At 37.6% G+C, this 25409-nt stretch overlaps 1 long non-coding RNA gene across 1 annotated transcript; it reads left to right on the top strand.

Annotated features, from left to right (window-relative positions):
• The first annotated feature begins 2307 nt into the window (after positions 1-2307).
• GTSCR1 (Gilles de la Tourette syndrome chromosome region, candidate 1) lies at positions 2308-22743 on the top strand. Its single transcript, NR_160904.1, has 3 exons — positions 2308-2652; positions 10539-10717; positions 22573-22743. It is a non-coding gene; the product is annotated as a Gilles de la Tourette syndrome chromosome region, candidate 1 (long non-coding RNA).
• The last annotated feature ends 2666 nt before the right edge of the window (positions 22744-25409 follow it).

Raw genomic sequence — 25409 nt, 5'->3', positions numbered from 1 at the left:
GGAGTGGCATTAAAATAGTTGCAAATAATAATGAAGCATAAATCATAATAAATATTGATAATTAACATGCAAAAAAGAATATATCACTGTCTGTCCACATGAGCCTTCATTGCTGAAAGCACTGAAAGCAAGAGCCAAAGCTACCTATTGAAGAGGCTAAAAAACAATTGTCAAGTCAGGAATAACCTCCCATGTCCTACTGATGTTTAAGATTCTAAATACTAAGTAATATATTAATAATGTACTGTCTTGGTTCATCTAGTTTAGCAAATTTACTCTCTAGAATATGAAATTCTATTGATTATATCAGCATCAAAAATATATAAAAGTGATTGAGAATGAGGCTTTAAGATAACCTCCTAATAATATGTATCTGATTAGGATATGCCACATCCCACTTTCCAACCCACATATCTATAAAGACAAAATCTGAATCACATGGAAAAGCAAGCTATTAGTAAACAATTTGCAGGAGTCTGAGAAAATTTATAACTATAGAGTAGATAACACTTCAGTTTTAAACATAATCAGTGACTTATACTCAACTTGTTCTCAGAAATGTCATCTTACAAGTTGGTATAATAACCCAGTTCAGAAATATGGAATATACAAGTTACAGGAAAGTGGTTAGGCATATTCAAATTTTTGCACCCAACCATGCTCTACCCTCTTAGCCACACTATGGGTATTATTTTCTGAGGCAGTCAAAATTGACTGCCACTCATTTTTCAAAATCTGTTCTATGACTGCAAGCTCTCAAAGACAGCAATGCAGAAAGGATAGGAGATTGAGTCCTGCATATGGACTCTTCCATAAATCAATGTGATGAAGGACAATATAATCTCTTATCTTGCTGAAAATTAGTGAGCAAGACCCATGTCATATTCATATTGTGCCCTACTTAGTGTCTCACTCATAATAAACACAACAAATACTTTACAAATGAAGAAGATGACTTCTATAAATCAGTGTGATCAAGGGCAGAGACACTAGCCCTGGTGATTGGAATTTCCCTGGAAGAACTACAACATGACTCCAATTATTTGAAAAATGAAATAGCTCACTAATATACAGGGAAGACTGAATATTAGAAGGCCCACATTAGACACATGCATTCTAGACCTAATTTGGGCCAGACATGTGCTCATTAGTGTATAATTCAACTTCAGATCTGGGGAAGGGGGTTGCAAGGTGGGGAAGGGCAGGGAATTCTTTTAGTCACATGTCCAATCCATACAGTACTCTCAGTCATTTGAAAACATAAAATCCAGGAAGGCAAGGCCAGCTTGCCTCTCCTTACCATCTGTTCACTCTCTCAGCTTCAGGGAACTTCAGGGAGCAGTTATACCGGGTACATCACAAATGTTTGACCTCAGCCACAAATGTTTGACCTCTGTGAATGCCACCAGCATCCAATAAATAGCTCAATATAGAGACCTAGGAATTATCTAAGACTCCTCCACTGCCCCAGGTTACATATCCAACCTTTATCGATCTTATCCATTTTACTTCCCAAATATCTCTCATTTTTCTCCATTTCCATTATTCCCACAGTAGTCCAAGCTAATGTCATCTTTCTCCAGTAATATGCCATCACTTGCTAACTGATCAAGCAATATCCACACTGCAAACCTCCTTCAGACGATCTATTCTGCCCTGCATAACCAGAGTGTCCCTTTCAAAATTCAAATCCAGTGTCACTACCCAAATCCCATCTCGAATTGTAACCCCCATGGTTTGGCTCTGTGTCCCCACCCAAATCCCATCTCGAATTGTAACCCCCATGTGTTGAGGAAGGGACCTGTAATCCCCAAATCTCAAGGGAAGGAGGTGACTGGATCATGTAAACAGTTTCCCCCATGCTGTTCTCATGACAGTGAGTGAGTTCTCATGAGATCTGATGGTTTATAAGTGTTTGACTGTTCCTCCTTCATAGGCTCTCTCTCGCCTGCCACCACGTAAGACATCCCTCCTTCCCCTTCTGACATGATTGTAAGTTTCCTGAGGCCTCACCAGCCATGCGGAACTGTGAGTCACCTAAATCTCTTTTCTGTATAAATGACCCAGTCTCAGGCAGTTCTTTACAGCAGTGTGAAAATGGACTAATATGCTACCCCATCTCCATCCCACTGCCATCCTCCCTAAAGCCCTACAGTAGATTGCTGTTACTCTTAGAATCAAGACCAGACTGCTTCCGGGGTCTATACCACCTTCTGTGGTTTTGTCCCCAGCTAGTTTACATCACATGCCCCTCCTCTTCCTTTCTCCATCACATTTCACATTTGCCATTTACTTTTTTTTTTTTTTCATTTCAACCTTCCTTTGCTTTTACCCTATCATGCTCCCTCACCCCACAAAGCTTTTGTACATTCTGCATCTCCTTCCTGGAACATTCTACCTCCCTCTGCATCTAGGTCTCTGCCTGAGCTCAGGTTCCCTAAAAAGCCTGGTCTGAGGCAATGACTAAAAAGGCTCCTATTTTGTTTAAGGACGTGCAAACTCATGGCAAGAAGGTGAGGAAAACAGCTACGGAGGGAAGGATGAGAAGCAATGCAAAGTGACATATACCATCCTGGCCACAGCTTCCCAAGTTGGGTCCTTTGCTGGGTGCACTCATGTGGCCATGAGGGACATCTCAGAGAGACTGCAGAGGTAAGCAAGATCTCTTTCCTGAAACAGTTTGTTCATCAGAAAAAGGGAGAAGAGGAAATGAATCTTCCTAGCTCTTTCAAGGTCTTTTTTCCTTATTACTCAATTCCCTGAACAGGGGGTTAATTCACTCAGTTTCAGATTGTGACTTCCAGCCTCATTATTTGGGAAGCCAGGCTGCAAACCATAGTACATTATTTTATCCAAACCTTGAAGTAATGGGGAAAACATTAAAAAAAAAAAAAAAAAAAAAAAAAAAAACAGAGACTCGGGTGCACAGCTGGTTAGATTGGCTGTAGGTGGCAGCCAAGGGGAGAGCCTGGCCTTCTGAGGTGCAGACTGGTCACGTTTAGGCAGGAGCATGGGTCAGCCAAGGCTGTGGCCTAATTAGAGGATACAGTGGAGCATTAAGTCAATGGCGATGCACTCTTAGAATGTGGCTACGCCCCTTGTAACCACTATGGTATTTACAACCATTCTAAGGACACAGAAAACTTGTTCATAGTATTAAGAAAAAATGGTATATAAAACTGTGTATAAAGTATGTTTCAATTATAATCTTTAATTCTGTTAGAATTCTTTTTTCCCAAGAGTATGCATTAACTTTACAGTTTTCTTAAAAAAAAAAATGGAAGAAAACAGTTTCCAAGAAGAAGGGTCAACAGATTCCACAGTATTGACTCAGGAAAGTGCAAGCATTGCAGGGACCAGGAACATCCAGGCTGGCAAGAAGCCAAAACAGGAGGGAGCGGGGAGGGGCGCAGCCCCGAAGCAATGTTAGGAGGCTCTGACCACTTTCCGAAGAACGTTGTATCTCCAAGGCCTTCGCTTCTCTATCTGTAAATTTCAAACAAGATCCCGGTGTGTGATGTTCCCCTTCCTGTGTCCATGTGTTCTCATTGTTCAATTCCCACCTAAGAGTGAGAACATGCCGTGTTTGGTTTTGTGTCCTTGCGATAGTTTGCTGAGAATGATGGTTTCCAGCTTCATCCATGTCCCTAAAAAGGACATGAACTCATCATTTTTTATGGCTGCATAGTATTCCATGGTGTATATGTGCCACATTTTCTTAATCCAGTCTATCATTGTTGGACATTTGGGTTGGTTCCAAGTCTTTGCTATTGTGAATAGTGCCGCAATGTTGTGGGGTGGGGGGAGGGGGGAGGGATAGCATTAGGAGATATACCTAATGTTAAATGATGAGTTAATGGGTGCAGCACACCCACATGGCACATGAATACATATGTAACAAACCTGCACGTTGTGCACATGTACCCTAAAACTTAAAGTATAATTTAAAAAAAGTTCAAACAAGATCTTCATTTGGGTATAATGAAGAGAAAGTGAGGACATGCATCTGAAAGCTGACTCAGAAACTCTGACGCTCTTCCTACATTTCCTAACTGCTGCCAATGGAGAAATGTCCTATGTCACTTTTCCTCACAGAGACTATGGCCTTTTACGAATTTATCTTTTTTTCTGAAACTTCTCTCTAACTTTATTTGACATTGCAGTACTAAATAATAGATGTGAAGCTTTTCACATCTGTACTGGAAAAAAATATGTTACAAAATAAAGTTGTATAATGCCTCCAGCTATCATTATAACTGAACAGCAGAGAATATTTCAAAATATTTTGAAAAAAGATTGTTATGAAAAATTTGCACTTCAGGCCGGGTGCAGTGGCTCACACCTGTAATCCCAGTACTTTGGGAGGCCAAGGCGGGCAGATCATGAGGTCAGGAGATCGAGACCATCCTGGCTAACACAGTGAAATCCCGTCTCTACTAAAAACAATACAAAAAATTAGCTGGGCGTGGTGGCGGGCGCCTGTAGTCCCAGCTACTCAGGAGGCTGAGGCAGGAGAATGGCGTGAACCCGCGAGGAGCTTGCAGTGAGCCAAGATCTCGCCACTGCACTCCAGCCTGGGCGACAGAGCGAGACTCTGTCTCAAAAACAAATAAATTAAAAAAAAAAGAAAAAGAAAAATTCGCACTTCACCAAGTGGTTTTCTTTTACTGTTGGGATGTTTCTGCACTTTCCAAATTTTCTACAACCAGCATAAATTTCTCATATTTCAAGAAGTATCCATTCTTCTAATATCCATAACGAAATGATCTATCAATTTAAGATATATTTTTAAATGATGATGGGCAATACTAATAGCATGAGGTGGTTCGGGCATTCTCATAATTATTAGAAAAAAGTATCCAGTCTATTTGGGAAACAATTACGTCAACTTGGGAAACAACTGGAAAAGTGCATATCACTTTTAAATGATTACATTCATTGCTGCAGGAAATTTTTTTATTTTTTGAAACTGACTCTCACTCTGTCGCCCAGGCTGGGGTGCAGTGGCACAATCTCAGCTCACTGCAACCTCCACATCCTGGGTTCAAGCCATTCTCACGCCTCAGCCTCCCAAGTAGCTGGGACTACAGGCATGTGCCACCACATCCAGCTGATTTTTGTATTTTTTAGTAGAGACAGGGTTTTCCCGTGTTAGCCAGGGCTGGTCTCGAACTCCTGGCCTCAAGTAATCTGCCCACCTTGGCCTCCAAAAGTGCTGGGATTACAGGCGTGATGCCTGTATCCCAGGCTGGCCTGGTGCAGTAATATACCCCCAAAATTCTCCCCCAGACTAATTTTAAATGTTGGTAAAATTTCATGCACAGAGAAATGTGGATTACCATACCTTACATGATCTTGAAAAATAAAAAATACATAAAATGTCCCCAAATTGTATAATATAAATGATTACATGAATATATCCTTATTGTGACCATCATAAAGCCATTAGAAATTAAATTTATAGAAAAACTTTAACTTTTAATCATGAAAACGTTTAAATATATGCAAAATACAGAGAACAGTATAATAAATTCCATCATTTCCATCACCCAGATTCAACAATTATCAGCACAGTACCAAACTTACTTCATTCATACTCCTACTTACTTTGCCCCTCTCGAGTACATATTTTGAAGCAAAATCCTGACATATTATTACATCTATAAATTCCTCAGTATGTGTGCTTCCAAGATAAAAACTTTCAGAATATGACATTATTACACACAAACATTAATAATTCTTAACATAAAATATCTAGTCAACATTACAAATAATTTGTATTTTTCTCTATGACAGAGGAATTTTAATTCTTCTAACGACATGGGAAATGCATAGAAGGGGAACTGCAGGTGCAAATCTGTATATACAACATTATTCAAACACGCACAAACAAGTGTGGAAAGAGATTATACACGGGCCTTCTACAATTGAATATCTGTCCCTTCAGCTGTCCACGAGCCCCCTTGTCTTCTCACATTTCTGATCTGTCACATGTCCTACCAGGAGTCCTACCCCTGTGAGTTTATATGTTAGTAGGTGAACATGAGTGGGCACTCAGGGTGAACAAAGCCCATCTTCCAGCATGTGCCTTCCAGATGAGTTTTGCTGTTCTCAAAATCATTGTACATGTACTTTATGGAAAGATACATATGTAGATTTGGGGATTTCCAAAATCTTTGTAAAATTTCCTTCTCAAATGTCATAGACCTAGTGCAGCAAAATGTTTAATAAAGTTAACCTTCTGTTAAAGAGATAATGCTTTCCAATTTACATACTGAATGCTTATTTTTTCTTCTATTTAAAAAATCAGAGCCAACATATTATTGCCACACTAAATTGTGAATCAAATTAGCCAATGCTTGCCAGTCACCTACTATCATACCTGCAGCACAGAGAACATACTAGAAATGGAGGTAATTATGGGGCCATGTTTTATGTTTATCCCTGAAGATTAAAAAAAGAATATATGGCACTAGCTTTCCATCTAAGAGAAACAGATTGAGTAAATTTTATTTATCTTCCCTACTTTACCACATATCTGAGCATTACTTTTTACACATATCAAACTATATGATCTAATGATAAGCCACATATAACCTGTTTTTTTAACAAAGTCTTTGTACTCCTTGCCTGTATTGTTTTGAGCTTAACCCTTTTAAATTCTCCATGTTTCTCAACTACTACAGGGTATTATTTCACCATTCCATATAACATCCAAGAAGGAAATCTCTCATATTATACGTATTTTCAAAATTGAATTAAAGGCAAGTATAAGTAAAGAAAATTAGTAATGAGTGACTAGAAACCTTTTTAAGCCGTAATCCAGGTTTCTACAACATGAACCTAAATGATAGATGTGTTGTCTGCAATAATTATTTTAGACGAGGATATTCTAAAGACCTATATTTACATATATCTAGCTATAATATGCACTATTAGTGAATGTAACATGAAAGACAACTTAGATTTTGAGTTTGAATTTTTAAAAAATCTACTATTATAACAGAAGGAAGAAATCAAAGGTCGTGTCCCAGCCTTTGCTCTCCCCGTAAGAGAGAGCACTTCCCATGAGCCAGACTTCCCTTCAGCGCCTTATGACTCAATAGTGACTGTGAAGGACATCGTCATCTATTCAATATACTATATTTGGATCATGAAGCAAGTAGTGTACGCTGTCAAATATAATTCAGAAAATGCTAGTGGTTTGTAAATATTACTTTTTAAAATAGTAGAAAATAAGTATATTCTTAACAGTGCTTGTCAAGAGGAAAAAGAAATTACCAGCCTGCTGTCTTTAGAAAGCATATGTGTCATAAATAGTTTAATAAAAGACAGCTGTAAAGAGGGAGGTTTCACAATGATTGTCAATAGGCGATGTGCTTATATGCACAAATGTGGTGTGTGTGTGTATACGTGTGCAAGCATGCGTGTGTGTTGTAGCAGGAGAGGAAAAGGGGTATTTAGCAGAATCATCTGGAGCCATTTCAAAATATACCTTCCTTCTTTCAATTAGGACTTCACCTAACAAAGGTTTATCAAGTATCCATCAGGTACAGACAGCTTTTAGTATGTGCAACACCCCTATCCTTTAATACCACCCCTTCAACAAGACACATATTCATGGATGTGTTGGCTCTGTCTCTGGAGGTGAGAGATAGTGTATGCTGTGCTTCATCTGTTTACCTCTGCAAAAGTCTTCCTTATCTTTAATTAAAGACTCTTCCATACAATATCCAAGGAGGCAATCTATTATCACATCTATTTTCGAGCTAGAAAACAAAAAAGACACCAAAAATTTGAGAAATTTCTCCAAGATTACACAGCTAGCCATTAGTAAAGGTAAGATTTGGGCTCCAAAGAGCAGATGAGAATGCATGCCATGGACAGGCAGATGAACCTGGGGGAGAGAGAAAAAGGAAGCCATTAGGACTGAGCCAAGCATGGCCAGTTCCTCCTTCTCACCAGTCAGGGAAGGGACATGCCTCCTTCTCCTGGAGTAATGTCCAGGATGAGGGGCAGAGGAAAGCGGAAGTCCCAAATACAAGTCCCTCCATAGGAAACATGAGCCCATCTTTTAAGATTCTCCCTAAGAGCAATTACTTGTTCTAGGGGAAACAAGTGCCTGGATGAGGACTAGAGCAGTGTGAGAAGCAAGGTTCAGTTTGTGGATTCTTCTTGAAAGATGGAATGCATATTTTCTCTAGCCTCCCTGTTTAATCATGCCTTATTATGCCAAGTTTACATGATACTTAAGATAGAGAAAACTTTAGAAACCCAAATGAACACACTTAGCACAGCCTATCTAAGGAAGAAAATTCAGTGTGTCCACATGGCTGAGCTCCCAACTCCTACCTATTGATTGTATACAGTGTACATATAATCTCTCCATTTCTCTCCTCATGCCAGTGCATAGCAAAACACTCTGGCTCTCTCCCATGGGACTCTCACAGCCATGTCAAGTTCATCCTCCTTCTCTCAAGACTGCTTTTAAAATCCCAGTGTGTGTGTGTTTGTGTGCATGTGTATATTCTACTCTGCACGTATCATTACTTCCTTCTTGTTTTCTTATTCCTAATTTCCTCTTTAATTATTTTTTTCTTTTTCTTTTTCTTTTTTTTTTTTTTTTCGAGAGGCAGTCTCACTGTGTCACCCAGGCTGGAGTGCAGTGGTGCAATCTCAGCTCACTGCAACCTCCACCTCCTGGGTTCAAGTGATTCTTCTGCCTCGGTCTCCCAAGTATCTGGGATTACAGATGCACCCCACCACACCTGGCTAATTTTTTATCTTTAGTAGAGATGGGGTTTCGCCATGTTGGCCAGGCTGATCTCCAACTCCTGACCTCAAGCGATTCACCTGCCTCAGCCTCCCAAAGTGCTGGGATTACAGGTGTGAGCCACCATGCCCGGCCTCCTCTTTAATTATTATCAGCATTTCCTACACCAAATTTCACACTACATATCTGTTTTCTTCTCCTCAAAAAACGTTCAAATAGGCCTATTCAGAGATTCAAAGAAAATTGAAATCTTCCACAATGGTTAATAAAACGGTTGTTATGACATATAAAAAGTGTGGAGATTATCCATTGATTTTGCATAATATTCATGGCAGTTAGCTCAAGAATTCTGGAATTGGCTTCTCAATTGCTTTCAGGCTAATATTGAAGTCTAAAAAGAAGAAAAAAATAAAACCTTAATAAATTAGAAAATTAATAGATTAATAAAATAATAAATTAAAATTAAAATTTTATTTAAAAAATAATAAAATAAAATTTAAAAATTAAAACCGTAATAAAAAGTTGTCCTCCAACTAAGAAAAAGCTCCAGGAGTCCCAATGACCCCAAACACTCACTCCCATTAAGGTAATCTCCATAAAATGCACTGAATGAGTGCACAATTACAAAATAAGGGAGATTGTATGCAAATTTTTGTAGGCTTTTTTCCCCCATATTCCAGAGCTAAATTGAGCCTCTGTCTAAACCCTCTTGTTTTTCTCCTCCCCTGAGACAACGTACAACATCACAGCATGAATTCAGCAGGGTGCAGGACATCACATACAGAGATCATTGCTTCTGAAGGGTTTTCACGTGCACAAAGACAGGCTACAGGTGGTGCAGTAAAATTCAGAAATGCACCGGAGTATCATGCATCCTGATTCAACCATCCTATCTGTATATATAAAAAAACGGGATCCTCGCAAAGCATACATTGATTCATTTCTATGCTGATTCTTATTTTATCAATGGCCTGTGGGCATATGCAAATATTTTTAGCTAGGTCAGTATCACATGCATACACACCACACATGGCAGACAAAAAATTGCCACCTACCAGCCTTCTTTAAATAAACAAATTCAAACAAGTCAAAACCAAAGACGGTCAAGGAAAATAAACGTGTTGTTATAATTAGGTAATGCTTTCATAATTCCATTTGGATATTTTCCACAAACTGCAAGTAGGTTAAATCCCCAAGTAAAATCTACATTCCTCCCAAATGTATGATTCACAGGTGTAGCTGCAGCCTAAGGGAGAGGGCATCTTGCTGATGCAGCCAGTCCCCAGGAGGTCTGCATTCCACCCTGTGCCAGGTCTCCCTCCATAGCATTCCAAGAAATACCCAGCCCACCTCAGAAAGAATCACATAGCATCCTTTCTGAGAAAATAATAAGCCAAACAATTAAATTAGTTGACAGCAAATTTCTCTTCATTTCATTGCAATCTGAATGTGAATTTTCAAGTTGTCTAATAGATTAAAGCGCTCATGTTTGCATCCCTATGTTATCTCCATTGATTTTACTCTTGTCATTAGTATAATGCTTGCAGGACTGAGCCAAAACATCTGGAAAAAAGCAGAAGATTAAGTATGGATCTCCTCTAAACTTTTGTTTACATCTCACAATTTTTTTTAAAAAAAGCACATTCATCAACACAAAATTTTGTAACTAAATATTACACAATAAATTAAATAGCAAACTTGGACTACTTTCAATTAGAACTATATTAATGCAACTCAGTTCACAGTCCCCATTTTACTTTGTCAGATCAGAAAAACTCATCAAAATGGAGACCTGCAAATAAGAGGAGGAAGAGGGAGGAGAGAGAGCACAGAAATCTTCCAAGTGGCTTCAGTGACAGAAGGGGAGGAGTCACCACCTGCCATTTGCATGGAAGTGTTTTTGTTCCTCTGGTTTATTGCTCCTATTTATGCATGCGTGTGCAGGTATGTATTAGCTATACCAGAATTTAATTTTCTGTATATAATCAACACATCCCACAAAAGGTTTGAAATAGGTGCCATTCACATTAAAGAATGTACATAAGTCACTCCTAAAAGCTGAGAACTTTCTAAACACACAAAAAACGGTACCTAGTTGCAGAAGTTGCCCAGAATGTGGTCACCAATGATTGGACAGTCAGAATCAAAGTAACTCAGGAAAGAGGGTTTATTTCTAGCCACAGAGGTCCAGAAGGCATAACAGAGAAAAGGGGACTGAGAGGACCCTGACGTGATGTTAAGATAGGTGAAGAAATGTGTAGAAAGAAGACAAATGACAACTAGTTGAAACACAGGAAAAAAAAAAGTACGTGATTCAAACATTTCAATGTGGTCACCATTATCTTCACTACTTCTACTAGTATTTATATTATTTATGTACATTAAGGACCTGTATTGGAACACATTCAAGGCAAAAACTTAAAGCAACAAATGAAAACATTAGTGTGATTGGAGCAAATGTTTTGTGAAAGGAGTACTAATCAAAAATAAGGCTAAAAATAAAAACTGGACCCAAACTTTGGAGACTTGGAAATCCAAAATAATAATGTGTTTAGATTTTAACCTATAGGTAACAGGAGTCATTAAAGGGTTTTATGCTGTAACCTATGTAAAAGAGATGTTTCTGAAGTATTCAATTGGTAGTGATGTTAGGAGGAATAAAACTGGGAAAAGGAGACAACTTCAACCAAATAAATGAGGTGTGTTCATTCCAATGCAAGACAAATAAAATTTTTATGAAATTCTCTACTTCGGTTTTGAAAAAGACAAATGGATGTTGACAAATCAAGGCATAAAACAAAGTTGGAGGCATCAGGGTCAGAAATATGTCTGTGGTATTTCTTTTAGTCAAACAGTTCAGAGGCAGGGCCCTGTTCAATAATTAAACATTTGTTCTCAATGCACTCTATTGTGCCACTCCAGAATATCCAGGAAGCAAAAAAAGATGATTGTAGGTCACTCAATTTCAATTGGAAGGAATTTTGACCAATGAAGTAAGCACACAAGTAATTTCTCCCAAAATATTGCAGAGTAGCTGGAGTCAGTGCTGTGAGTGCAGCCGAGAGCAGTGAGGGGCACAGTCTGTGGTGGCAGGCGCTTTGTCCTACGTGCTGCTGCACATCAGGATTCCAAATCACACACTTGGGAGGGAGCTGACACCTTATCCTGAGACGACAACACCAGCATGTCCAAGGTTTCTCTTGCATGGCTGTGACCCAGACGGGACAACTGGTCAGGCACAAAGCTGAGATTTCTGCTAGGGTCAGTCAGACCAGGAAACACTGTTTTATTCCATGCTGCTCAGGGCCTCAAAGAGCCTCATGCTTACCCAGCTCTACCTAACACCTCCCATTCTCCAAAATGATCTGGCAACACTCCCACTAATATCCCTGCCATGGCATCATCCCCACTTCCATCTGACTATATCCCTTCAGGTATTAGAAGGGAAACAACCTATTTATTTTTAATTAATTATGAAAAATAATTAGTTATTTATACCATCATCTCATTACATGAAGGACTTGAGCCAGATTTCAGAGATATGTATAAGAAAATGAGATAATAAATAAGTCAGAAATTTGAAGAAAAAAGATGAAGGAAGGAAAATAAGATGATAGAAATAAAAGTCATAAAAAGATGATATTATAAAGTATATATTGAAAATCCACTGAGTAGGGCTCATTGGAAGAGACTAGATATTAAAGCTTTAGAAACAAGTAAATATGAGATTGGTTGATAAGTCTATGGACCTGTATTCACTGCAGGTCATTGGAAGAACTGAACTGAAAGTAAAACATAAGTCAGTAAAATGCCCAGAATAGAAAGAGATACATAGTTAAGATAAATGAGAAAAACTAAGCAAAGCCTGCTATCGTGATTGTTGAGAAAGAGGAATCATGATGCCCTGCATTCTCGTGGGGACAGGGACCCAGCAGAAACAGCTCTGCCACAATTCACAAAGCAGGTGGGATGGTGTGGAATTTGAAATTTTACCAAGATGTCTATGGCTACCTTGTCCAGGTCACAGGCTGGGGAATTTAAGTCTAAAATTTTGCCAATTTCTCTCTGAGCCTCTTGGCAACCAAAACAAAGTAAAGAGGAAAATCATGAAACTGTAGCAGCATTTCACAAACTGGTATCTGCTTAATGCTGTTCTGTCAGATCATAATTGAAATGCCCACATACCACACACATGATGTAAGAAATATTGGCAAATTCAGGATTTAAATAAAGTTAATGTTTGTTTCTTCTTAACTGTTCAATCACACACAGCCGTTAATATGATGATTACCATATAAAGGGGCCAGAAACTTTTTCCATGTGCCACTTACCAGTCTGCTTAGAAAAAGACTGCAGAACACAGTCTGGGGAGTAATGACTTAAAAAAATTAATGGTGGAAAACCCTCAAAAAACTGTGTATAGAAGAAATATACCTCAACAAAATAAAAGTTACATATGACAGATCCACAGCTAGTATCATACTGGATGGGGGAAAACTGAAAACTTTTTCTCTAGTATCTGGAACATGACAAGGATGCCCACTTTCACCACTGTTATTCAACATAATACTAGAAATCCTAGCTAGAGTAATCAGACAAGAGAAAGAAATAAAGTGCATCCAAACCAGAAAGGAAGAAGTCAAATTATCCTTACTTACAGATGATACAACCTTGTATTTGGAAAAACCCAAAGACTCCACCAAAAACTATTAGAATTTATTCACAAATTCAGTAAAGTTGCAGTATACAAAGTCAACATACAAAAATCAGTAACACTTCTCTGTGCCAACAGTGAACAATATGAAAAAGAAATCAAGAAAGTAATCCCATTTATGACAGCTACAAATAAAATAAAATACCTAGGCATAAATTTAACCAAATAGGTGAAAGATCTCTGCAATGAAAACTATAAAACATTAATGCAAGAGATTGAAAAGGACACACAAATATATAGAAAGATATTCCATGTTTATGGATTGGAAGAATCAATATTGTTAAAATATCCATATTATCCCTACCCCAAAAATCTACAGAGTAAATGCAATTCCTATCAAAATACCAATGATATTCTTCACAGAAATAGGAAAACTATCTTAAAATTTATATGGAACCCCAGAAGACCCAGAATAGCCAAAGCCAACCTGAGCAAAAAGAACATCACTGGAGAAATCACATTACCTGACTTCAAATTATACTACAGAGTTATGATAACCAAAATAGCATGGTACTGGTATAAAAACAGACACATATATCAATGGAACAAAATAGAGATCCTAGCAGGAAATCCATACCTTTACAATGAACTCATTTTTGACAACGGTGCCAAGAATATACATTGGGGAAAGAGTCTCTCCAATAAATAGTGCTAGGAAAATTGGATATTCATATGCAGAAGAATGAAACTAGATCCCTATCTCTATCCACATACAAAAATCAAATCAAAATCCATTAAATACTTAAATCTAAGACCTCAAACTATGAAACTACTACAAGAAAACATTGGGGAAACTCTCCAGGATTGGTCTGGACAAAGATTTCTTGAGTAATACCCCACAAGCATAAGCAACCAAAGCAAAAATGAACAAATAGGATCACATCAAGTTAAAAAGCTTCTACAGTAGCAAATGAAATAATCAACAAAGTGAAGAGACAACCCGAAGTATAGGAGAAAAATATTTGCAAACTATTCATCTGACAAGGAATTAATAACCAGAATATATGAGGAGCTCAAATAACCCAACAGGAAAAAATTCAATAATCCAATTTAAAAATGGACCAAATATCTGAATACACATTTCTCAAAAGACATACAAATGGAAAACAGGTATATGAAAAGGCACTCAACATCATTGATCACCAGAGAAATGCAAATCAAAACTACAATGGGGTATCATCTCAACCCAGTTAAAATGGCTTTTATTCAAAACACAGTAAATAACCAATGCTGGCGAGGATGTAGAGAAAAGGGAACCCTTGTAGACTGCTGATGGTAATATAAATTAGTACAAGTACCTCAAAAAACTAATAATAGAACTACTATATGGGCCAGCAATTTCACTGCTAGGTGCATACCCAAAAGAAAGGAAATCAGCATATCTAAAAGATATCTGCCCTCCCATGTTTACTGCGGCACTATTCCCAATAGCCAACATTTGGAATCAACCTAAGTATCCATCAGTGAATGAATGGATCAAGAAAATGTGGTACATATACACAATGGAGTACGATTCAGCCATTAAAAAAAAATGAGATCCTGTCATTTGCAACCACATAGATGGAACTGGAGGTCATTATGTTAAATGAAATATGTTGGGCACAGGAAGACAAACTGCATGTTCTCACTCATTTGTGGGAGCTAAAAATTAAAACAATTGAACTCGTGGAGATAGAAAGTAGAATAATGGTTAACAGAGGCTGGGAAGGGTGATGGGGATGGGAGCAGGAAAGTGGGGATGGTTAATGGGTACAAAAGTATGATAGAATGATTAAAATCTAGTATTAGATAGCACAACAGGGTCTATAGTCAATAATAATTTTTTGTACATTTTTAAATAAATGTGCATAATTGGGATGTTTGTAACACAAAGACATGATACATGCTTTCGGTGATATATACCCCATTTGCCTTGATATGAATATTATATGTTGGATACCTGTATTAAAATATCTCATGTAGGCCAAGCATGGTGACTAACTTCTGTAATCCTAGCACTTTGGGAGGCCGAGGCAGGAGGATCACTTGAGGCTAGGAGTTTGAGACCAGTCTGGGCAACATGGCAAGACCCCCATCTCTATAATTTTTTTTTAATTTACCAGGCATAGTGTCTGTAGTCCCAGCTACTTGAGAGGCTGGGGCAGAAGGATTCCTTGAGCCTGACAGGTCACTATCCTGCTGTGAGCCAGGATAGCACCACTGCACTTCAGCTGGGTGACAGAGTGAGACCTTGTCAATAAATATATATAATGTTTATATATATTATATATAATGTATCCCATAAATATGTACACCTACTATGTACCCATAAAAATTAAAAATTAAAATTAAAAAAGATGAACGGCCAAAAGAAAAAAAATGTTCAGGAAAAATTTAGTTTTCCTTAGGAATCAAGAATTAGGAAACACAGCATTCTTTCATAAAAAGAATTGCACAACACATTTTCCATAGGGAATATGTTCCAAGTCCCTCAGTGAATGACTAAAACTTTGGATAACACTGAACTCTTTACACACCATTTTTTTTCAATACAATAAAGAAGACAGCTACTAAGTGACTAACAGGGGGAGGTAATATCTACATTGAGGATACACTGAACAAAAGGATGACTCATGTCCCAGGTGGGATGGAGCAGGACAGCATATTTCACCACACTACCCAAAATCAACAGGGAATTTAAAAATGTATGAATTGTTTATTTCTGGAATTTTCTACTTAATATTGTTGGACATCAGTTGGCCTCGGGAAGCTGAAACCACAAAATGTGAAAGTGCAGATGAGAAGGGAGGACTACATTTATGCTGGGAATCCCCATGAAGGTCTCACTGTGTGTATGGAACACAAAATCCACAACCTCGGCCCTACAAAAAAATGTCCTAATAGCATTTCTCTGACAACATCCCTTGACATGGTCACATGCATAACACTGAAGAAAATATGTACATGTAGTTAAAAAAAAAAAACAGGATGGGTGCAGTGGCTCATGCCTGTAATCTCAGCACACTGGGGAGGCTGAGGAGGGTGGATCACCAGAGGTCAGGAGTTCGAGACCAGCTTGGCCAACATGGTGAAATCCCATCTCTACTAAAAATACAAAAATTAGCTGGGCATGGTGGTGGGCACCTGTAATCCCAGCTACTGGGGAGGCCGAGGCATGAGAATTGCTTGAACTCGGGAGGCAGAAGTTTCAGTGAGCCAAGATGGTGCTACCACACTCCAGCTGGGGGGCAGAGCGAGACTCTTGTCTCCAAAAAACAAACAAACAAACAAACAAACAGGCCAAAACTATTGTCTGATTCTCTAAATATGTGGTTTTCTAGTGGTCTAACTTGATTCCAGAGTTCTAAAATTTAGAAAAATAAGAATAGATTGTCACATGCACTTCAAGTAATCTTGAAGAGATGTTCTAACCTGATATCTAAGCTAAGATATCCTACAGCTAAGAGTTAAAGCTCTTTGGAAAGCATTTGCAGATAATCTACAGCACTAATTAAAGACAGATTGATTTATTTTGTGCACAAACAAAAAGACTAGGATTTTAATCCCTTAATAAAAGTTTTGGATTTATGCTTTAATAGAAAGCTCTGAAACTTGTCCATCAGGTAGGTAAAGGAAAGGTTGGCAGAAAAGGTCAAGTATCTCAACAGCAATATCAGATCCACTGAAACCAAAGGTCTCAAAGTTTTGCATTATAGAGCTTATAAATAAGTATTTTATACTAGAGAATTTTTAAAGCAGGTGTTATAAAATGCCCATTTAAACCATTTAAAACTTCTTTCCAGATTGCAGTCAAAGGACATCTAATTTTAGTGAAGGTAACTTCTTGGTGTACCTCCAAGATAAATTGAATACAAAATGTAATCCCAAGTAACTAAATGAGTTAACCTGCTACATAGGATTTTAGTGATAAGCCAATTATATTTAGAGACTGCCTGCCAAAAAATAATGACTAGGTTTTCAGAAAAATTGATCTTGAGCCGTTCTTACTGATGCAACTTTGAGAGCAGGGCCACATGCCTACTGAGGAATGGCCAGTTTCTGAGAGTCACACCTTGTTGTCAGCACCAGAAGAGTCTCCCTTTTCAGTCTCATGTCAATAAAGCATCCAGCATTCAGAACAGTGTCATGGCATTGAGAAATAAGATAAAAATAGAACCCTAATATGGTTCTATTTGCCCCTTTTAAAATTGTTCTTATCAAAGAGAGTGTTCTTACTCAGCTAGACATGTGTGGGGGCTTCTATCTGAGCCTAAAGAGCTGACCAGGGCCCAGAGTGGCAGCTGTTATGAGCTCTTAACCCAAGTTCATTCTTCCCTGGTGCGGAGTCAAAGACTTACCTACCATCTGCAAGGAACAGACCTATCTGTCTTACATTATCCTCATACTTTGTGCATTGTCTAGTGTTAATATTGCTGTCCCTACTTAACAGGAAGCCCATGCTAAGCTGGAGCCAATGGCTAGAATCAGTCCACATGAGCTTCCTGCCTACCTTGGCAGAGATGATCGTGAAACTATGCCCCTGCCTCCCAGCATCACATGAGATGCTTCTTCTGACAGAGCATAACCAATTTCCCCATTCTGCTGCAACTGTCAGTCTTTAGGCCTCATTCTGTGATTCAGGGCCCCTGCTATTATTATACCAGGAATCAAAGAGTGACAAGAAAAATAATCAAAAATATATTTTGTCTTTTAACAAAATAAGAATAAAATTATGTAGCAAAAGACAACACACGATGATGTTAGCACTCAGAAATGGGTTTTTTGCAAGTTGATATGCCGAAATATGTCCTGAGGCTTGTCTTGGATAAGATCTACATACTGGTCTCTGGCCAAGTTGCTGTGAATCATTGCAGGAGACATTGAAATCTAGGTTCTAATCTTCTTATACTCCTCTGTAAAAGCAGCCTATCACACAGTGCTCTTGAGTTCTTTGAGCTTCTGAAACAAGTGAAAAGGAGACACTGTTGTACTGATACTCTCTAGGGAGTGAATTGCCACCCCCAACATGCTATCTTCCTTCTTATTCATCAATGCCTTCTGTACAAAATAAGCCAATGATAAACCCACATATGTTGAGCTCCTGTCAAATTCAAAGTGCTCTGCCAAGGAGGAAGGATAAGCCATTCGTCCCACACTCAGGAAGCTAAAAGGCAAAGTTGGGGTAATACATTTTATATATATATATATATATATATATATATACACACACACACATATATATACACACACATATTATGTATATTATATATAATTATGTATTATATATTTAAAATATATTATAAACATATTTTATAATATATGAAAAATATTTTTAATAAATATAATTATATATTTTATAATGTATATATATTATATATTATGTACTATATGTATTATTACCCCATATATATGATATATAAACATATAGGTTTTGGATTCAGCCTTGGGCTTAAATCTAGGCTTCATCACTTGCTGCCTTGGTCACTTTGCTTAACCTTAAAGTATGGAAGGTGATCAGCAGAGTGTTTGGCCCAAAGTAATTCCTTAAGAAACTGTAATTATTATCTATAATATATCCAGAAAGTGAGGGGACTTTGAGGATCATTGTTGGCCTAATATACATCAGTAACTATTGTAGACACATATTTTATACATTGACTCCTTGGTAAGTCTACTTAGGCTGTACGGAGGTGTGTGTGTGTGTGTGTGTGTGTGTAGTCATCCCTTGGAATGTGGCAAAATTCCTATAACTTGTAAATATTATAGCAGGACTGGGTTCAAACCCTGACTCTATCTGGCTCAAAGCCAGATACCACCACAGAACACTGGTGCTACAGTCCGAAGCTACCCCGTCCAATATGGGAGCCACTAGCCAATATGGCTATTTAATTTAAATTCAAATTAGTTAAATTAAAAATCAAGTTCCTCAGTTGCACTGGCCACACTTCCAAGGCTCAAAAGCCACACGTGGCTTATGGCCACAGTGTTGGATAATAGAGACAGTAGAACATTGCTATCAGCACCGAAAATTCTACTGGGAAGCACCAATCTAGATAAAAAGATGAACACAATAAACATTTTTCACTGGCCAGAAAAATGATGGTATCTGTTAAGTTAAAGCAATGATAGAATGAAGGAAGTGATCATTCTGTATCCCTGAGTGGGCTGTGATAGTCATAGTTAAATAAAACTCTCACCTTCACCTTTAGGTCTCTATTATGCAGGAGTTAGGAAGCAACTAAGCTCCTAGAAGTTGCTATTATCTGTCTGGTTAATATGCTTTCATCAAGCTCAGAGAAGCGTTCTGTTAATGTAAGTTTGTCTCCGTTTCTTCAGTAAACTGTTACCAGTGAAATAAAATTGTGTGGAACAGTCAAACGAGGTGTTAGGAATGTCCCTGTGCACACATGTGAGTATCAACTCCTTTGCAAGTTTGTTCAAGCTGTTAGCTCTTTTCTTTGGTGCTCAGTTAGATACTTGTTTGTGCTTTTTCTACTTAAAACAATAGTAGAAATGACCAAGTGTTTGAATTAGCCTCCTTTTCAAGAGTTCAGTTTAGCCAGGTTTTTAAAAAATTACTTATAGAATAGAACGTTCATTTCACTTTTATTCACTTGCTTAATCAATAAATATTTGGAAAAAAAGAAATATTTGCTTATCACCTGCTCTGTATCTATCTGCTGCTGGGCTGGATGCTATAAGGATGCAAAAATTAACCAAAATAAACTGGGCCCCTAATGCCACGGCGTTTAGAGTTTTTGGTCTTCTCTCACCATAAAATATTTAGATTTTACTACAAAAGATAAAAAAAATGTATAGGAAATAATTTGACTTACATAACTTAGCAAATAATGACACATCCCAAGTATGACAAATTAATCACCACTGGAATATAAATTCTTGTTCACCATTCTCTTTACTCTTCCTTACTATGCCTCTGTCTTATACTACAGGCCCTGTAAATATTACACTTATTCTCAGAGAAAATTCGGGTATAAAGTTATTAATTTTTTTTTCACAGATGGAAAGAAAGAAGTACAAAAAAAAAACCCCACAATTATTGTTTCAAGTTTATACACTATGTAGAGATCCTAGAAATAGAAATCCTGCCTGGCAAAGAAAACCAGAACTAGACAGAGGTTAAGGTTAAAATTGTGAACACAGATTCTATTCAGGAACAATTGCAAAGGAGAAAGAAAACCAGGTTCAATTCAAATATAGCATGGACAAGTGGAGATTTATAGCCAAGGAGGAGGGTGAGGTCAGTGGATGGAAAATTACTGAGAGGAAACATCAGATGTAATGGGAATTCTGGCTAAACTGACTTCATAGGATTCTTGGTGAAGGTGGGCCAGGATGATCACATACCACAGGTTATGGGGATGAAGAATTTGATTGTAAAACCACATTCAGATATTTGAAAGTCTGCTTTCTATGTCACTACATTTAAATTATAAATGCAAGTGAGTTGTTACCAACGCAGCATCCTAAAGCTGAGTTAAGTAGCCACGAAGATTCTATGAGTAAAAAGCCTTTCATTTTATCAAATTTGGCCAAGAAGGATTCTTTAAACTGTGAGCCTACAAAAGCCGATGTGATTGAACATTGTTTCATGGTCTATGCAGTCAATTTGTGTTTTCCTTATGGCCTGAAGACAAGTGGCCATGAGCAGTGAACATTTTTGACTGGAGTCTAAGAACCCGTATTGTTTCTAAATGCAATCTAATGGAAAATTCCACTGGGAAAGAAAATCACAAGTCAACCTAAACCAGTAAGATAATATTAAAAGAACAGAGAATGGACAACAACAATAACTTCATTTTTATGTAACACTTATCTCTATCATGAAAAAGCAAATTGTCTTAGTATTGTCTGAAAAACTTGGAAGACTAAGAACATGCTAAGCAAGAATTAGTCCTGTTAAGAACATTCAGAACAGAAGCTGCCAATCTTAATAGCAACTGTTCTTTTCAAAAACTGTATATTCAACTTTCTGTGTATTTTGACTTTGGTTAGAAGAGGTAAGAAAATAAGAAGATGACTACCTATTTAAATATGAAATAAAATAATGCAACAATTGTGCATTTCTTTCTTTCCCAGGACCTCACACAATCACTTCAAATGCTGCCATCAAAAAGGAGAACATTTTGGTATAGGAAGCAGATCGATTTGTAAAGATCAGGATGTGGTTTGCAAGAGATATAGGTTCTACATTCATTTTTCTATGTGAAAAATACAACAGTTATGTTGCATTGACTATAGAAGGCAAGACAACTAAAAGAGACCCACCAGATTTCTCTTCATGGGTCTAATTTTACCCTCAATTTTTCCTTTTCTAAATATGAAACTTAAATTTTTGTCTTCTTCCTTTAAACACTCTTGGTCATACATCAGCGGTTTCCAAGTCAATACTTTGCCTCCTTAATTTCAAATTCATCAAGCTTTAAATTGATTTTGAAAACTTTTTTCCATTAAATAAATGTTTTAAACTCTTTCTGGCCAATTAACTTTGTTTGCTCCCAAATAGTACTTACTAGGGTAGCCCTTCTTATTCATCTAATCATCCTGTCATCATAAAATTCTAGTATTATTTTCTAACAGTTGAGTACAATGCATTTTCCTTCCCCCAAAGAATTCACAATTGACCTTAAGAGGCAAATGATACACACATATTATGGTAAATAAAAATACAAATCAGTAAATTACACATTCACCAAAGACTTTTTAAGAATGGTGTTTACTGGACAGCCAAAGTAATCAAAAAAGTCTATTTTTAGAAAAAGTGCACTTAATTGGGTTCTAAACAAAGGAAAGACTAGAGAGGGAAGACATTCTATACAAAATAAAAAGAGAAATGATAACTGTTAGGAACAAAAGCAGAAATGACATGCACATCTTATATTTCAGAAGGCAGTGACAAGCCAATTTGGCTATAGGGAAAGGTTTTCAAAACTTTCTTAATCACTGAGTTTTACTGACCTTCTTTCTAGAATGTTCAGGACTGGCAATAACTTCCCCTCAGTGATGTAAGTACATTCATGTAAAAAAAAAGTATTAGACCCAGAGAAAATGTTTATTGTTTCTAAACAATATTTCTGTATTTCAGGATCTTCAAAATCCAGGTAAGAAACACAGTGAAGAACTCATCTACTGCAAGCTTGGCCCCATCCATCAGTACCAGTGAAGAGAGACAAATCAGGATAGAAAGACATCACTACCATCTCTATGGTCAGTGATATTATGGACTAATGAATAAAAATAACTGCTTTACACAGGATTCTACAATGTTCTACAGTGATTTCACATACTCCTTTCATTCTTGCAATGACCCAAATTTAAGTGTTGTGTTTAAACCGAAGTTAGGCACACGTTAATATCTCTACTTTACTAATGAAAAAAACCCGAGGTTAAGTAATTTATCCTTGCTCGTCTTCCTGTCAATGACAGAGGCATACTTTTTATTTTTATTTTATTTTTTATTTTTTTTATTATACTTTAAGTTCTAGGGTACATGTGCATGACGTGCAGGTTTGTTGCATATATGTATACATGTTGCTGTGCTGCACCCATTAACTCATCATTTAACATTAGGTATATCTCCTAATGCTATCTCTCCCCATTCCCCCCACCCCACAACAGGCCCCAGTGTGTGAAGTTCCCCTTACTGTATCCAAGTGTTCTCATTGTTCAATTCCCACCTATGAGTGAGAACATGCGGTGTTTGGTGTTTTGTCCTTGCGATAGTTTGCTCAGAATAATGGTTGCCAGCTTCATCCATGTCCCTACAAAGGACATGAACTCATCCTTTTTTATGGCTGCATAGTATTCCATGGTGTAGATGTGCCACATTTGCTTGATCCAGTCTATCACTGACGGACATTTGGGTTGCTTCCAAGTCTTTGCTATCGTGAATAATGCCGCAATAAACATACGTGTGCATGTGTCTTTATAGCAGCATGATTCATAATCCTTTGGGTAGATACCCAGTAATGGGATGGCTGGGTCAAGTGATATTTCTAGTTCTAGATCCTTGAGGAATCACCACACTGTCTTCCACAATGGCTGAACTAGTTTACAGTCCCACCAACAGTGTTAAAGTGTTCCTATTTCTCCACATCCTCTCCAGCACCTGTTGTTTCCTGACTTTTTAATGATCGCCATTCTAACTGGTGTAAGATGATGTCTCACTGTGGTTTTGATTTGCATTTCTCTGATGGCCAGTGATGATGAGCATTTTTTCATGTGTCTGTTGGCTGCATAAATGTCTTCTTTTGAGAAGTGTCTGTTCATATCCTTCGCCCACTTTTTGATGGGGTTGTTTGTTTTTTTCTTGTAAATTTGTTTGAGTTCTGTGTAGATTCTGGATATTAGCCCTTTGTCAGATGAGTAGATTGCAAAAATTTTCTCCCATTCTGTAGGTTGCCTGTTCACTCTGATGGTAGTTTCTTTTGCTGTGCAGAAGCCCTTTAGTTTAATTAGATCCCATTTGTCAATTTTGGCTTTTGTTGCCATTGCTTTTGGTGTTTTAGACATGAAGTCCTTGCCCGTGCCTATATCCTGAATGGTATTGCCTAGGTTTTCTTCTAGGGTTTTTATGGTTTTAGGTCTAACATGTAAGTCTTTAATCCATTTTGAGTTAATTTTTGTATAAGGTATAAGGAAGGGATCCAGTTTCAGCTTTCTACATATGGCTAGCAAGTTTTCCCAGCACCATTTATTAAATAGGGGATTCTTTCTCCATTTCTTGTTTTTGTCAGGTTTGTCAAAGATCAGATGGGTGTAGATGTGTGGTATTATTTCTGAGGGCTCTGTTCTGTTCCATTGGTCTACATCTCTGTTTTGGTACCAGTACTATGTGTTTTGGTTACTGTAGCCTTGTAGTATAGTTTGAAGTCAGGTAGCGTGATGCCTCCAGCTTTGTTCTTTTGGCTTAGGATTGTCTTGGCAATGCGGGCTCTTTTTCGGTTCCATATGAACTTTAAAGTAGTTTTTTCCAATTCTGTGAACAAAGTCATTGGTGTCCTGATGGGGATGGCGTTGAATCTATAAATTACCTCGGGCAGTATGGCCATTTTCACGATATTGATTCTTCCTATCCATGAGCATGGAATGTTCTTCCATTTGTTTGTGTCCTCTTTTATTTCGTTGAGCAGTGGTTTGTAGTTCTCCTTGAAGAGGTCCTTCACATCCCTTGTAAGTTGGATTCCTAGGTATTTTATTCTCTTTGAAGCAATTGTGAATGGGAGTTCACTCATGATTTGGCTCTCTGTTTGTCTGTTATTGGTGTATAAGAATGCTTGTGATTTTTGCACATTGATTTTTTATCCTGAGACTTTGCTGAAGTTGCCCACTGAGCTACACCTACAAAGTGCATGCTGAAAACAATGCAATGAAAATCAGGGTGTTTCCCCCTGGAAAAATCTATACAATTTAAGAGTGAGAAAGAGAGAGGGAGTGGTAGACTCCTAATTAAATTAAAGTTTGAAAGGTTTCTTAACTTTCTTAAAGACTAATAGCATAGCAGAGACTGATTTTCAAAGGGGATCATTAATTTTCCTTAATTTTAAACTAAATCTCAAAGTATATTTTATTCATATTCAGAAAAGGATAAATGGAAGATCAAAAAGCAATAATGCAGACCTCACCAGTGCCCAGCCCCTGAGGGAACCATTGCACTGCATTTTTTATGTCAGCCGACCTTTCCTTTTTAGTATTCATGAAAACTTAGCAAATAATCAATTGAATTGATTTCAGGGACATATATCCATTGCTTCCTGCCTGAAACGTGAAGCTCAAGCATGGTTATCTGACACAGGAGTGCCCTTTCATTCTGTCTTCTGTAGGAACAACTGTACAGAACAAGTAAATGAGCGACCCAATGAAATCTCCCATCCCACAGTCTGCTCTTGCCTTACTATTCAATTCATCTCTCTTCATCCGCAC

The sequence above is a fragment of the Homo sapiens genome, chromosome 18 (genome assembly GCF_000001405.40).
Source record: "Homo sapiens chromosome 18, GRCh38.p14 Primary Assembly".
NCBI classification, from domain to species: domain Eukaryota; kingdom Metazoa; phylum Chordata; class Mammalia; order Primates; family Hominidae; genus Homo; species Homo sapiens.
Note: the sequence above shows the minus strand (reverse complement) of the source record. Positions and strands in the feature narration are given on the sequence as shown.